General features: G+C 34.5%; 1 protein-coding gene and 1 long non-coding RNA gene across 4 annotated transcripts in view; one reads left to right on the top strand and one right to left on the bottom strand.

Moving 5' to 3' along the window:
* The window catches only part of GPC5 (glypican 5), a 1468617-nt gene that overhangs the window by 206138 nt on the left and 1246342 nt on the right, over positions 1-16137 (bottom strand). The window lies entirely within an intron of this gene.
* The window catches only part of LOC105370315 (uncharacterized), a 67055-nt gene that overhangs the window by 16601 nt on the left and 34317 nt on the right, over positions 1-16137 (top strand). Inside the window, exon 3 of one of the 2 annotated variants that reach the window (XR_931644.3) lies at positions 8788-8863. The exons of the other annotated variant lie outside the window; for it this stretch is intronic. This is a non-coding gene — a long non-coding RNA (uncharacterized LOC105370315). Of the gene's footprint in view, positions 1-8787; positions 8864-16137 lie in introns of those variants that run through there. 2 annotated transcript variants of the gene reach the window in all.

The following is a 16137-nucleotide window of genomic DNA, read 5'->3' as shown; positions in this document are numbered from 1 at the left end:
TCAAACTCCTGAGTCAAGCAACCCTCCTGCCTTGGCCTCCCAAAGTGCTGTGATTACAGGCATGAGCCACCATCCCTGCCCTGTGTGAGTTAGGTTTTTTGTTTCTTTTAAGTGGATGGTGAAAATAAAATCATAGGAGAACTTCTATCTAATATAAAAGTTGTTAGAAATGTTAACTTTAAAATAATTATAAATAAATTAAAAAAATAAAAATTCAATTCTTTAGTTCCATTAGCCATGTTTCCAGAGCTGAATAGCTATATGTGGCTGGTTAATACTGTATTGGGAAATACTGATTTAGGGAATATTTCCATCATAATAGAAAATTGTGTTAGATTATGTTTATGTAGACTAAGAGATCTGTTAGGCAGATTTTTCAGAAAAGAAAGTAATAGAAATTCTAGAACTAAATGCAATATGCAAAATAGCCTAAATTAATAATTCAATGGATAAGATGCAGAGAGATCATTACGTGGAAGAGAGGGAAGAAGAAACCATCAATAATGATGAAAAGAGAGACAAAAAAAAATATGTGAAAAGAGAATAGTACATAATTTTATATTAGTATTATGCATGAATTTGTGTTCACATATGTGCATATATATGTATATATACATGTATGTGTGTATATATTTATATATATACATGTATGTGTGTATATGTTTATATATACACATATATACATACACCTCTTGCTGTTTATTCTAGAGAAATGATGTGCCTATGTGTGTCTGGCTGTTTAATCATATTAATCATATATAATTTGTGATCACTAGAAACACAGAAATATAATGTTCATCATCAAAGCATTAGGTACATGAATTGTATATTCATACAAAGAATCCTATCAAGCATCCAAAATGAATGAAATACGTGACTCAAGAACATAAACAAATTGAAAAAACAAAATGTACTATAGGTAAAATCATACACCAAGACTATATGCTTTATGGTTCCATTCATATAAACTTCAAAGGAAATTCTTAAGAGTGGTAACTAAATGTAATAAGGAATTACTGCCATAAATATTTGAAAAGTGTAGTTAGTATTCCTTCAATGGAACAAAGGGGGCTGTGACTGGAAGAGCAGACAGAAGGATTCTAGAGGGCTAACAGTGATGGTTTCATATACAAGCAGTGGCTCCTTGGCTTTCTTTCCACACGGGTTTCTTTCTCTTTCTCTGATGCCTCCCACTCTGCCTTGCCACAGGGGTTTTGCACATGCTCGTTCCCATTCTGATAGACTTCCTTCCTTTTCTTTTCACTCTCATATCCCAGATCAGCTATCACTTCCTCAGGGAACATCAGCCCTACCAGATGTGGAAAAGCTACCTTCTTACATACCCTCTGAGAAGGACATTCATTCCTTCCATCAGAGTATGCTTCAGTTTGTAACATTGTAATGTCTGACATTATTGAAGTAATTGCACCAAAAATGAAATTGGTACAACTTTCACCATTGACCCTCCAATGTCTTATACATTGACTATAATGGCTTGTTAAATTAATGGATGAATATGGTTACACAAATTGAATTTAAAGTGTCTATATAACACACACATCTAGTAAGCAGCAGGATATATGGACCAGTTGTTCCTCAGAGTTTTCTTTCTAGAGATAGGGAGTCACGAATAAATAAGGGCTAGCATAGCTAATAGTGTATTTAATTGCTCTGGAAGAGGCAAAAAAAAAAAAAAAAAAGTCAACCAAATGAAAAGGCAACCCAGGGAGTGAAAGAAAATATTTGCAAACCCGATGTCTGTTAAGGGGTTAATTTCCAAATTGTATATGAAACTACAATTCAATAGCAAAAGAAAGACCAAATTAAAAATGGGTAAAGGACTGGAATGACATTTCTCTAAAGAAAACATAAGGCCGGGCGCGGTGGCTCACGCCTGTAATCCCAGCACTTTGGGAGGCCGAGGCGGGCGGATCACGAGGTCAGGAGATCGAGACCATCCCGGCTAAAACGGTGAAACCCCGTCTCTACTAAAAATACAAAAAATTAGCCGGGCGTAGTGGCGGGCGCCTGTAGTCCCAGCTACTTGGGAGGCTGAGGCAGGAGAATGGCGTGAACCCGGGAGGCGGAGCTTGCAGTGAGCCGAGATCCCGCCACTGCACTCCAGCCTGGGCGACAGAGCGAGACTCCGTCTCAAAAAAAAAAAAAAAAAAAAAACAAAACATATACAACTTTTCTTTGTCAATTATATCTCAGTAAAGCCAGAAAAAAATAAGAGCAAAACATACATCTCCTATAATTCAACCTTGATGCCTTGCTCCAGCTGTATTGCACTTGACCCCTTCCCAAGATCTACACTCCCAGCCCTCTGGATTACATGACTTTTCTGAAATATTTCTTCTTTTTTTCCTCATCTCTATTTCCTTATGCTTTATGTCATTTTCCTGAAATGCCTATCTCTTCCTTCTTTGCATCACTGTCTGTCTGACAATGTGTTCCACAGTTTAAAATTCTGAAACAACAGAAACAACAACAACAAAACCAAAATAGCAGCTCTTAACGCTAGAAGATTTTTAAATATTGTATTACACAACAAAACTTGACACAACCTGAACTCATTCGGTGGCAAAATCTGATGAGGAAACACGGGAGGCAAAACGTGGTGCTGTCCAGTGCTGGAACAGGTGTGGCTTTAAAAGGGTATACATGTCACATTATCATTCTCAAATCCAAATGAATACATAGAACTCTAAATTTTGCAACATAGATGTCCCCAAATGCTCTGTATAAGATTGAGTATACACCTTGTATTGTGTCTTGCGCTTCATAATGATTGATAAATATTGCCATATAGAATGCCAAACCAATGAGTAATTATGTGGTTTTATGAGGCTCTGTCAATTTCAACAACAGATAAAATACATATCTCATGTATGATGGTGGAAGCTAGCCCATATAATTATGAATATTGGGATATTTTTCACCCCAAGAATTCTCCAGTCTAGTGACTAATGCCTACACAGAGAAGAAAGACAGTGACAATCTGATGAAGGATGTATGTAGAATAAAAATGACAGAATTGGGGTAAGTGTATAATAAACACAGAGTAAAGTTCTGTGATATTATAAATGATAATAGGTAGTTTTAGAGTTTTCAAAACAAGAAAAGTAATACATTAAGGAACATATTTGCTTAGAGAAGTATGATTCATACCAGTTGCAAAAAAATAGAAAAATAGAAAAGCAATTCAGATGATCTCAACTTTATTAGTTTTCTAGGAAACACTCAGTATGTGATATAGACTGTAGTAACAGTCTGAAGAGTTAAAAGAATGTAACCTTAGAAGTAAAAAATTGCAGAGTGAAGAATCCATTTCCTGTTTTCTGCAGACTTATCTTGGAAAATTTGAAGTATTCATTGTGCAAAGAATGTGGTTACATTGAGGTTACTAATGTTGATGCTACTGAAAGGGTGGCCTTTAAAATTGCCTCACACCTTCACAGGATACACCTGTCCATACTTCAACTTTGGAATTTCAAAAAAAAAAAAAAAAAAAAAAAAACCAAAAAACCTTCTAGAAAACTAGTAGTTCTGACTAACACTCTTCCGTGCCAGTTGTGTCTCTAATTTAATCATAGTTGTTGGTATTTTCCCTCTTGATTACATGCCAATTTGTCTTATTCTTGCACCCTGGGATCTAGACTTGGAGTAAAACACACAGGGATCCAGTGTTAGAGCAAACACTTAGCATGAAAAGACTTTAGAACTGAGAGCCAGGCTGAGGCCTTTGGTCAGATCATTAAAGGGTTGCAGTTTTATTTCTGGAACAATGTATGTACTATTTATTTACTTAGTATTTCCATGAAATAAATATGACTTTTTCTTTTTATTTAAATATATTTATCATACTTAACTTTAATATATCTTAAAATAATAAATTGAGTTACTGCTTCAGGTTATCATGTTTATTATTAACCTGTGTCTCCACCATCACCTGCAAAGCTCAGTTAAATATTCACCATCTAATGAGAGCAAAGACTATTCATGTTAATTTTTAAAATTTACTTAAAATTGTGTCTTTTACAATTACCTAAAATTATTTCATTTCTTTTTTAATTGTGTTTTGAAAATATCTAGCTGTGTAATATCAAAAAAACTTTTGCCTTTTTTCTTTTTAAGACAGGGTCTCTGTCACCCAGGCTGGAGTGCGGTGTGAGAGCATAGCTCATCGCAGCGTTGCTCACTGCAGCGTTGAACACTTGGGCTCAAGCCATCCTCTGTCCTCAGACTCGTAAGAGTAGCTGGGATTATGGATGCATGCCACCATGCATGGATACGTTTTGTTTGCTTTTGTAGAAATGGGGTTCACTATATTGCCCAGGTTGGTCTCGAACTCCTGGCCTCAAGTGATCCTCCCACTTTGGCCTGTTTTTGCTATTATTGAAAGTTGACTGAACTTAGTTTAGGTAAATAATGAGCCAAAACAACCAAATGCAGTTCATAAATAGAAGTAGGCTAATTCATTTGAAAGAATAGAAAAGCATGTTTGTGAGTGGGTGGGTATATAAATAACTTGAATGTAAATAACAGAAAATCTGTTTCCTTGAATGTAGCCCATTGGTTCCTGCCTCTCTATTGTGTACCTGGGCCCTGCCCTTCATCTTGGGTGTCCTGCCTGGAGAAAACTGCACCATGATGCCACTAACTTCCACTAACTGGAATCCGCCTTTCCCTCCTCCCTTTCTCTCCTTCACATCTCTACCCCAATTAAATCCCTAAACTTTGCTGATTAACCACTTAAACATCCTTTTAATTCATCCATTTTTTTCACTGTGTCTTTTCATTGCTAATTCTCTATTTGAAGCCACCTCACCTTTTTCTCACAATGTCAACTATAATGGCCTAGCTGATCTCCCAGTCATTCCAGGCTTGTATCTGCCTAAACTACCTTCCACTCTGCCCTGTGCTGTTTTCTAAACAACAAATTTTATCCTGTTGCTTCCCAATTTCAAACTCCTCAATGACTTGAAAATGCCTTCAGTGTATAGCTGAACATGATATAACTCTTTTTTTTTCTGTAGCCTCATGTTTCCCTTTTCATTGTATATTTCATTGTATATTACAGTTATACTTCGAATTCCTTGAAGTCAGGGAAATTGTCTTATTCAAGGTTGTATTCCCAGAACCTAATACAGTGTTTGCTATGTAGCAGGTTTTCAAGATAATTTTTATTTTAAATTTCAGTTTGATGAGTTTAAATCAGATAAATATATGACTTTTTGGCATCCTGAGTCTATTTCTATTCTTTCATTTTAGAGTTTAAGTAAGCTTAGGCTACTATGAGAGTTACTTGAAAACTGTTATCCAGATCCTCTGGAGGTTGAAATTCTGGTAATAGAAGCATCTGGTCTGTTGTCAGTTCTAATTTTGCTCAACCCAAACAGGCAGATAGAAATGCTTACTAACAAAGGCTGACTCTTGATACTCCAAAAGTGGCAACCGAACAGGTGCGGTGGCTCACGCCTATAACCCCAGCACTTTGGGAGGCCAAGGGCGGGGAGGGTGGATCACCAGAGGTCAGGAGTTCGAAACCATCCTGGCCAACATGGTGAAACCCCATCTCTACTAAAAATACAAAAATTAGCTGGGCATGGTGGCACATGCCTGTAATCCCAGCTACTCAGGAGGCTAAGGCAAGAGAATCGCTTGAACCGAGGAAGCGGAGTTTGCAGTGAGTCGAGATTGTGCCATTGCATGCCAGCCTGGGTGACAAGAGTAAGACTCTGTCTCAAAAAATAAAATAAAAATAAAATAAATAAATAAATAAATAAATAAATAAATAAAAGCAATCAACTCTTCATTTCCAGAATATTACAAAAAATGTTTGCCGGTGGATGAGAACAGATTTGGTACTGTATTTTATTCTGTATATATTTCCTTGGACTGCTGCAACAAATTACCACAAACTTGGTGACTTCAAACAACAGATATTTATTCTCTTGTGTTCTGGAGTCTGAACATTTGAAATGAAGGTGTGGATAGGATTGGCTCCTTCTGAAGGCTCTGAGGGAAAATCTAACTCAGGCTTCTTCCCTAGTTTTTGGTGGTTGCCAGCAATCTTTGGTACTCTTGCCAGTGGCAACCTAATGCCAGCCTCTGTCTCCATCTATAAACGCATCTCCTCCATGTGCCTGTGTCTGTCTCCAAATTTCCCTCTTCTTATAAGAACATCAGTCATATTGGATTTCAGATCTTTAGCAATCCAGTGTAAATTCGTCTTAACTTTATTACATTTGAAAATGCTCTGTTTTCAAATAAAGTCACATTCACAGGGCCCAGGTAGAAATGAAATTTGGGGGGATACATTTACTTCTACTTTTTTTTTTTTGATGAATACAAGGTAAAAAGAGTTGAGTATAAAAATAAAATTACAAAACTATTTTTAACATGACATGAGAATATTATTTTCAATGAATCATGTTTGTCAAACGATTTCAACAAAAAAGTGACAAAATCCAAAATCGTAATAAAGGTTTAACAGCTAATTAAATGCAGGATCCTGAATCACTGACTGACAGAATTATTCTCTCAAATTAGAAATATAGAAATGGTCAAGTGTAATTTAATATATTTTTTCTGATATATGGTCATCCTATATCAGCACTAGGCAGTCTCCTAGTTAAGCCTTTCCTTAACAGTAATGGTAAATACTAATAAAATATGCCTTATCAAATGGAATTATTTTGTGTTCATGGAAGTCAAACAATTTGTGAATAAGGACTCTATCTGACAACTCTGGAAAACCATTTTTATTGCTTCATTTAGAAAAGGAAATGGAAATATTGAGTTATAAGGGAAGATAACAGTTTTTTTAAAAAACCAATCTTTACATCATGATTATTAGAAGCTGTGACTCTCCCCTATAATGAGGCACTTAAACATTTTAAGGGTATTCATTCACAATATTGAGATATCAGTTTGCACTTTTTGGAAGGCAAAAATTAAACAAAGTGCAATCCTGGAATAATTTACAAAGAATAGCAAAAGTATTGTGAATGGACCGAAACATTCAACAAATATCTATTTAGTACTGACTCTGTGCAAGGCACTGTTCTATTTGTGGGGGATAGTGTGGGACACAGAAGGATAAAAGTCAGGCTCTCTTGCAACTTGCATTGCCCTAGTCATGCTGAATATTCTCCACCTGCTCTTCTGGCTTCAGTTCTCATACTTCACTGAGTTTTGAGCTCTGGGCACTGACTAAGTACTACTTCACTCTGGTTGCTTTGACCAACAAAAGGCAAAGACAGCAGATCAGAAGTTGGAGGAGAGATCAATCTGAGTGTGATTTCTCAGGATCCTTCCCTGCTGAGGCATAGCTTGGCAGTGCCTGATTTCTGCTACTTACTTATGTGTAAGGCCACAGAAATTACACATCTAATTGGTTCAAGTGTCTGTTCCTTACCCTTGCTCCTTTAGACCATGGAAATAGCTTTAGTCCATCTAGCTTTCTTGTAACTTGTGAAATTCTTGAAAACTGCTTACATATTTATAAATAGCCATTTTGTTACATTCTCTTTAATTATCCCCTTTGAATATGCTTTCTATTTCCTAAAGAATCTTAAGTGATGCATGGGGTTAGAAAGGAAATACAAATACATGAGATATTTGAAAAAAAGACATTTTAGCAGATGCTGTCTGCAGCCCATCCGTATCTTCCTGGCTTTCACCATTCTTGGGTATGCTCCCTATCAACAACTCTTCAACTGAGCACTCTCTTTGGCTGCGACAGTTTGCCAGGCTTAAAGATAAAGTAGATTGGGCATGCTAGAAACGAATGCATCCCTTCCACTTCCTTCCCCAAAGCAGCCATCAACCAATAATTGTCAGATGGTATGGACCAAATTGTCAGCTTCTTGGAACCTTGGTTGGAACTGCTCTGGGTCATATTCACCCTATCCTTCTGAGTTTCCTGCTGAGCCTAGGCACCTGGTGCCCACAGCAGTACGCTGCTTGATAACAAAACTTTTATTGGCTTACTTTCTTCCCTCCCATATTTTTCCACTCCAGTGTTGGTGAGTCCTAGGATTACCTCAGCAAATACACATTGTAGTCTCTCACACACATATACACACACCCATACAAACACTACACAAACTCACATTCTTGTGCAATAGTAAGCTCTGGAAGGTTCTGAGGAGAGGAGAGATGCACACTTTTTAGGCTACAATGGGCCCACGCTGGATATTGTGTTGACTCAGAGATTTGAAGGGTTGTGAGGGCAGACACACTGAGACTCTTTTAGGGAAGTTAGTTCATCTATAACACTAGTAGACCATTGCAAGAATCTAGAGGAAAGATGATAAGGGATTGCATCTTTGCCATGATGCTATGATGAGATTGCTTTTTAGATCATCTGATCAATATTTATTAAAATGTATTATGTATCAGTTTGTATACTAGAAATTAGCAAGAAGGATACTGTCCTCATTTTAGAGGTAACGACATTGAGATTAGGAAAGTAAAGTAAAATATGCAAAATCTCAGACACACAGTCCAAATCTGCCCAGAGCTTTACCCTGTCCACCACGGTCAGGAAGGTTGCCACACTCTAGACTGAGTAGAGAGGTAAAGGCAGAAGACAGCCTGCAGTGAACCAGCAGAGAAAACTACATAGTTTTCTCTACATAGGAAGTAGAAATAATGAAATCAGGAAATTTGGCAGAAAAAAAATACAGGGTAACTAAAAGGCATAAGGTAGCTTTTTTGTTTTGTTTTCTTATTTTCCTCTTTAACCTGAGAGAAACCTATTCTTCTTTACATGCCTAGCAAAAAGAAGCATTGGAGAAGACACTTGATGTCACATTAATGAAAGGGAATAATGGATTAAGGAAAGCTTGGTAGCAAAAAGAAGTTAAAATATATCTGAGAAAAGTATTTTAAACCATAAATAACTTGTAAGTATCTGCAAATATATGTTTATTATAAAATATTCAAATAAGAGAAATGTATAGAAAAAAACCCTATGCCCACATTTACCCCATTTCCTATAACCCTCAATATTATTGCTATCTTTAATGTAACCACACTTTAGTATGTACCTCTTCAAATATTTGGGTGTATGCATATGTGTTCACATTTTTGCATAAAGTGGGTCACAAAAATGCAATATTTTTGCAATTTGCTTTTTTTTACATAATGTATCCTTGACGTTCTTCCATATCAGTACATGTGAATCTAATTATATTCTTATTAGTTTAATTATAGCATCAGCTGCATAATTATACTACTTTAATTATCAATCACATTTTAAATTTCTTTTTAATAAGCTTTTAATTTTAAAATAGTTTTAGATTTACCAAAAAATTACTAAGATAGTACAGAGACTTCTATACAGCCCACATCAAATTTCTCCTATTATTAACATTTTTCATTAGTATGGTACATTCTTTACAATTAATGAATCAATATTGATATATTATTAACTGAAGCCCACACTTTATTCAGATTTCCTTAGTTTTTCTGTAGCATCCTCTTTCTGTTCCAGGATCCCAACCACAATCATATATTCCATTTGGTTGTCATGTCTCTATAGGCTCCTCTTGGCTGTGACACTTTTGCAGATCTTCACATTATTGATGACCGTGATAGTTCTGAGAAGTACTTGTCAGGTATTTTGTAGAATGCCCCTCAATTGGGATTTGATTGATGTTTCTCTCATGATTAGACTGAGGTTATGTGTTCTGGAGAAGACTACAGTGGAAAAGTACCATTTTCATCACACCATTTCAATGACATATTATCAACAAGGCATATCACTGTTGATTTTCACCTTGATCACTTGGCTGGGGTAGTGTTTGTCAAATTTCTCCACTACAAAGTAACTCTATTTTTTTTTCAATTTTCATATGGTGTATTGGTCAGGTCTCTCTTAGACGGATAGAACTAATAGGATAGATATACATATATATATAAAGGGGAGTTTATTAAGTATTAGCTCACAAGATCACAAGGTCCCATAGTATTCCCATGGAATACTGTGCAACCATAAAAATGAATGAGATCATGTCCTTTGCAGGGACATGGATGAAGCTGGAAGCCATCATCCTCAGCACAGTAACACAGGAACAGAAAACCAAACACCACATGTTCTCACTCATAAGTGGGAGTCCAACAATAAGAACACGTGGACACAGGGAGGGGAACAACACACACCAGGATGAGGGGAGGAAACTTAGAGGATGGGTTAATAGATGCAGCAAACCACCGTGGCACACGTATACCTATGCAACAAACCTCCACGTTCTGCACATGTCTCTCAGAACTTAAAGTAAAATTTTAAAAAATTAATAAAAGGAAACCCTAAAAGAAAAATTTCACTGTATACCAATGATTATTATTCATACAAAAGGTATGCTGTCTTTTTTTAAGTCCATTAATGGGCAAAATCTCCATAGGGACTTTCATAAATATATGCAAATTTTAATTTATCAGGTTTACTTTTCTCAGAAGGTCTTAAACTATTCAAGCATGAGCTCTACTATTATGTGGTTTTTCAAGAATATCTGGCCTGTATATGCACTGTGTTTCCATCATAGAACCTAATACTGATTTACAATTGATGCCTTAGTACTAGTATTCATAACACAATTATTAAAATATTAAATTTGAGCTAAAATTGGTAACATGTCAAAAATATTTGGAAGCATGTTTGTATTAAGTGAAATTTTCATTTGCAGCCCATTTGCTCTGGAAATCACTGAAAACAGAGACATTTCTGAGGGCAGAATCCTATAGTGTGTGAAGGGACTTTCCTTATATGATTATATTTGTAAGATATCAAATGGAAAATGAGTCCTTTTGCTGTTTCACTTGTTATCCTGAAAGCGTATGGCATTGACTTCAAAATGCTATAGGTTTTGAAAAATTCAAAACCCTAAATGATCAGCATTCCTACCTGACATACAAACAATAACACTGAAGAATTAGGTATATTGTATACTCAGTGAAAAATGAAAAATAACAGATGTAAGTAAAATCTATGATACTAACCTACATTGAAAGTAAAATCTTACAGGTGAACTTATGATGAGAAACAACAACAAAAATCCCTCAAATCAACATTGAGTCTTTATATTTAAAGTTCTACATGGTTTTCTAAATAATAAGACTAATCCATCAATTGTGAATATTTCTGAGGCATAAAATGAGTACAATGGACTTGCCTAGCCTAGCATTTTTAAATTATTCGAAGTATTGCCAATAATTAAAGACAATAATCATAAACTAAAGTCACAGAGTTTCAAAGGTTAAGGAAATTACGTTTTAAGAGTAATAAACTATTTTCTGATAGGGAGAATAATGAATTCAATTATTACTGTCTTACTTTACTGACAAGGAGAGAGACACCAATGAACCAAGTTTGTTTTACAAAATTACAGGCAGGTGGTTGCTTGGCCAGGAGGGTAATCTAAATTTCTTGATTCATATCAGGGACTGTTTGCTTTTTTCTCTAGTAAAAAGTTTGTTTCAAAGACATTTTGTTATCCCTTGTAATTCTACTTGGCACTGGTCCATGTAGCAGAAAAGTGAATTATACTTATCATGACTTTAAAATAAACAATGAGTGTCATACCATTGGCAGTTTATGCATTATGATTTGAAACTCAATGCCAATTTTAAAACACAATTTTATAGACAATCAAAAATTACCAAGGATTTCAGTGGAGATATACAAATAGAGTTTTGTTAAATAAACAAAGCAATGTGAATAACAAAAGCATCACTTACTATGATGGACAGATTTATTATTGGCAAGAATCAAATTATTGAAGAGAGCTTATAGGGGAAGCCTATAGCTATCTGAATTTCCTATAAAACTCCACAGCAACTAAACAAAAACTGATGGAAGAATTTAAATTGAACTTGGATTAAATGTTAACATGTATCCTAATGTCAGCAACAAGATTGTGGAAATAGATGTTTGTGGTTTTCAGTTTTCTTATTAATTTAGAAATATGCCATTGTCTGCTTTGGATTAGCGAGGAAATAGAGTGCATTTTCTGGATATTGTTATAATATATCAACAACATTCAGCAAAAGCTCCAGCTTTAAAGGTGACTATTATACACGAAGGCAGAAGGAAACCTGTTGCATACTGAAGGTTCTAGCTGGTTATTATACATACTTATATCCTCTTGCCTGATGAATAACCACCCTCCATGAGAAGGCACTCCTATTGGAAGCTCACATGTAATGCTGTTAAAGGAAAGTTACGTCTAATGAGCAATTGGGAGCCACTCAGTTAACTCTGTTGTCAAAAAATGACATGCCCCAGTTTGATCCTCCCTTCATTCAACAAAACTTAGCATTAAATAGCATGATTTTAACAGGGATCAATGTTTTAATCTATGTATAGAATAATTAGCAAAACAACAACTTGAGTTTTGTTCTATTAAATATATTAAAGACTGAATATAACTTTCTTAATGTCTGAAACAACAAATCAAGACATCTGCTTAGTTTGTAACTTAAGTAAAATGAGTTTAATTAGAAATGAAATAGTTGGACAAATCAAAATAGGGCAAAAACATTGAAATAACTAATTAATTTGGAAATATTTGATAGCAGAGGTGAATGGTGGCTACCCAAATAATTAAATCTGCACTAGGAGGTGGCTTTACTTTGGTGATAAAATAGGAGCATAAAATATGCCTAATATTGAATATCAGCAATTAGATTTCTTATATTTTTATAAAATGATTAGTATGGTGCTAAACTGAAGCATGTATCTTAAAATAACTCCAAAAGAATAGATGCATTGCAAAGACTGAGCATGTTGCCTCTTGACAAAACAAATAATGTATCAAAATTGGTTTCATTTGTAGTAACTCAGCATAATTCTATCTAATAAGAGGTGTATAGAGGATAAATGCAGAAATATCACAAAGCAAAGTAACTTCCTAGAACAAAGCCAGTTTTTTATGTTCTTACCAAAAATAATGAAGTGAAGATTATATATAATCACATATGTATATATTTTAGATTATTAGTGATTATTTAGAAAAGGTTTCACAAGCATTTTAGATATAAAATTACTTTATATCCTAAGAGAGGCTATCATGTTATATGCAATCAATATGTACTCTAATAAGATGAACACATTTGGTTGCAGTACCATGTAAATCATAATAATAATCTCCCCTTGGAACAAGACATGATTTGTCATGTTTTCCTTTCATCATATTAGAGTCTGAAAAATGCCTGGACCCCTAACAGACACATTCAATAAATATTTGTTGAATGAATGAAAAATATATATATTCTATCATATATTCTACTTAAATTTCAATACAGTAAGAAGAGTTCAGAAGAGTTAGCTTCCATTATTCTCAATTAAAGATACCATGTGGCCTTTATGGCAGAAATGTCTCTTCAGAATATTTAGCCTTTGATTCTATAATGTACTCAAAACAATTTTTATGTTAATGTCTGAACTCTGGAACTCTATTGTTATAATTGTATTTCAGATTAGAGTTCAAACTCTGCTTGAGGTTTGATTATCTCATGAGATTTTCTTGGTGTCCAGAATCAGAGCAGAACCAAGATTCCTTGTCATGTCTTCAACCGGAGAGGAGGAATTTTCTAGTTCCTGTCAACTGAGGGTGCTGTATTTATTCCTGAGCCTATGTAGGCAGCTTAGATTCAGCTTTTTGTATGAAAACACAGGCAAATCTCATTGCCTGGCCCTGAAACAGGAGCACTGACATCGAAGCACCTGGAGGATCTCAATACATGCAGAAATGCACTTGATAAAATTCAACATTTGTTAGTTATAGTTATAAAGATCTTAGCAAATCAGAAAGATAAGGAACACTTTTAAGTTGACAAAACCTACGGTGAATATAATAGCAAATTGTGAAAGACTGAGGAATATCCCCTAAGGTTGAAAACAAGGTAAGGATGTCTGTTCTAACAATTTATATCCAACATTAGGCTGAGGTCTTAGTGAAAATAATAAGGGAAGAAGAAAAGATAGATGCATGCAGTCTGGGAAAAACAAAACTGTCTTTATTAACAGATGTTAGCTATTTAGAAAATCTCAAAAAGGCTACAGAAAAGCTAAACTGATTTAAACGTGAAATTTCCAAGGTCATAGAATGCCAGGTTTATATACACACACACACACACACACACACACACACACACACATGTTTATATATATTTACATATATATGTTTAGATATTTACATATATGTTTACAGATAGTTAGATGTATATGTTTACATATATATAAAATCACACCCTTGTATATGAGCTAAAACTGAAAATTGAAATTAAAAAACATAATACCATTTGCAATACATCAAAAACATTAAATTATTCAGAATAGATCTAGTAAAATATAAGCAAGATTTGTGTACTGGAAATTAAAAATCATTGATAAAAAAGTCAACATAAAAATAAAGCAAATAAAGCAATGGAGGGATATACTATGTGTATGGAATAAAAGACTAAATATTATTTAAATCTCAGTTCTACCCAAATTTATTTATAAATTCAATTCAATCCCTATCAAAATCCCATCAGGTATTTTTGTTGAATTGACAAGCTGATTCTAAAACTTATATGAAAATGCAAACCTTGAGAATAATTAAAACACTATTTTAAAGAACAAACGTGGAGGATTCATATGGTTTGATTTAAAGTCACACTATAAAGCTATAGTAAGAAAGATAGGGTTGCATTGAGGTAAAGTAAGACTTAGATCAATGGAACAGATTATAGAGTCTAAACATAGATCCACACATATATAGTCAGCTAGTATTCTACAATGATTGATTTTCAATGGTGAAAGAAGAGACTTTTTTACAAACGATGCTTGAGTAACTTGGTGATCATATGAAAAAAGATGAGTGTTGATCCTCACCTTTCTTGTTATAAAAATATTCAGTTGAAATAGATCAGAGGCCTGAATGTAACATGTACAACTCTAGAACTTCTAGCAGAAAGTATTTGAGAAAATCTTTATGAACATGGTTAGGAAAAGATTTCTTAGATAAGGTGAGAAAACAGGATAAATAATAAAAATAAAAATTAGAAATATTGGACTTTATGAAAATTAAGAACTCTGGTCTTAAAAATCAGCATTAAGAAAATTAAAAGATAATCCACAGAATGGGAGAAAATATTTGCAAATCATATATCAGAAAAGGAATTTGTATCCAGAATATACTAAGAATTCTTACAACTCAATATTAAGAAGCCAAACAATTTGGTTAAAAAAATTAGGTAAAATATTTGAAAAGACACTTCACCAAAAACCAATGATAGCGATGACAAATAAAAAAATGATCAAAATTATTAATCATCAGGGGAATGCAAATTAAAACCACAAGGAAATATCATTTATTGCAACATTTAATATAAAAATAAAGATAAGATAACAAAACCATGTTCTGGTAAGGATGAACAATCAAACTCTCATATGTTTTTGATGAGAATGTAAACTATTATAGCCACTTTGGAAAACAGATTAGCACTTTATGTTATAAATTCATACATGCACTTATTGTATGACTGAGCAACTCTTTTCTAGGTTTTTGTCAAGGAAAACGTAATACATATAAAGTCAAGACTTACTTTAAAATGCATTATGCTAAGTAAAAAAGTTAGATTTAAAAAGCTTCTTCAAGCATGATTACATTTATATTAAATTATAGAAAACACAAAACTACTAGGACAAAAATTCATTTAAAGATTCCCAGTCAGGAGTTCGAGACCAGTCTGACCAACATAGTGAAATCCCGTCTCTACTGAAAATACAGAAATTAGCCAGGCATGGTGGTGGGCACTGTAGTCCCAGCTACTTGGGAGGCTGAGGCAGGAGAATCACTGGAACCTGGAAGGTGGAGGTTGCAGTGAGCTGAGATCATGCCACTGCACTCCAGCCTGGGCCCAGAAGCTAGGCATGGTAGAAAGGAATTGACTTTAAAGGGGCACCAGAGGAGTTTCTGGCTGGGATTGTTTTAAAGTTTGAATGTAGTAGGGCCTATGTAACTATGCTTTTATCAAAACATGTTGAATTGTGCAAGTAGAATTAGTGAATGTCACCTTCTGAAATTCTACTACAATAAAGTTGAGTAAAAAGGGACTCCCAAACCTATATTATTGAGAGCC

Source organism: Homo sapiens, chromosome 13, assembly GCF_000001405.40.
Source record: "Homo sapiens chromosome 13, GRCh38.p14 Primary Assembly".
NCBI classification, from domain to species: domain Eukaryota; kingdom Metazoa; phylum Chordata; class Mammalia; order Primates; family Hominidae; genus Homo; species Homo sapiens.
The sequence above is the reverse complement of the archived record's forward strand: the minus strand, read 5'-3'. Positions and strand labels throughout refer to the sequence as shown.